Genomic DNA, 1,128 nt, shown 5'->3' on the forward strand with positions numbered 1-1,128 from the left:
TGCTGAGTTCCAAAATGATAAGCATTAAAACCTGTTCACTGAGTTAAGCAATGCAAGTGTTGCTGGGGGCCTTGGCAAGAGCAATTTCAGTGGAGGGGCTGGAGGCAGAAACTAGACCAGACTTGTACTAGGAGCTCGTGAGAAATTCTAAGACATATCTTCCCAATACTGGGCAGCATGATAAATGTCCACATTAGAGAGAATTGGTGAGCAGGTCATGCTCAGCCAAGGCATTTTACATGCCTAGTGGAATCTCATGCAGGAAGCTTCTCTAAGCGTAGAGGTAAGGGTAGGTCTGATGGCAACAATCTCTCTTACTTTTCCTTCTTCTGCGAATGTCTTGATTTCCCCTGCATTCCTGAAGGTAATTTCACTTTGTAGACAGGGTTCTGGTTCTTTTGTTTCGCCACTTGAGAAGTGTTATGCCACTTCCTCTGGCCTCCATGGTTTCTAATGAGAAATATATTGCCATTCTAATTCCTTTTCCCGTATAGGTAAGGTTTCCTTTCTCTCTCTCTCTGCTTTTGGGACTTTTTTCCTAGGTCCTTAGTTTTCAGAAGTTTGACTGTGATGCTTCTTGGTGTAGGTTTCTTTAAGATTATTCTGTTTGGGGTTCACTCAGCTTCTTAAATGTACAGGCATGTGTCTTTTGCCGTATTTAGAATCTTCCAGCCATTATTTATTTGAATACTTTTTCAGTCCCACCCCCTTCCTCCTTTCCTTCTGTCACTATGATGACACAAAAGGTAGCTCTTTTGTCATATTCCCACAGATCCCCAAGTCTCCACTCATTTTTCCCCCAGTCACTTAGGCTCAGGCCACATGTTCTGACCGGGGGTTTTATTGTTAGTTCCATTTCAAAGCCTTTGCAATGGTATTTGGTTCTGTTAAGCATGATCAGCAGTCTTGGAGCTGGCGAGGTCTATATCCCTTACTCAGTGCAGTTCTCAAAGTCCTTTGTATGTCGTACAGGATCACATCTGTACATACACACCTTGTGGGGTAAGCCCAGAAGCTCATACACAGCTTCATGGGTTTACTTTCCCAAGCACTTCCTCCCTCCCTGCAATCTCCCCAGCACTTTCTGCTTCCCTCAGCTTCCCCTTTTCAACCTTGTAGCCATGAAGC

The sequence above is a fragment of the Homo sapiens genome, chromosome X (assembly GCF_000001405.40).
Source record: "Homo sapiens chromosome X, GRCh38.p14 Primary Assembly".
Lineage (NCBI taxonomy): Eukaryota > Metazoa > Chordata > Mammalia > Primates > Hominidae > Homo > Homo sapiens.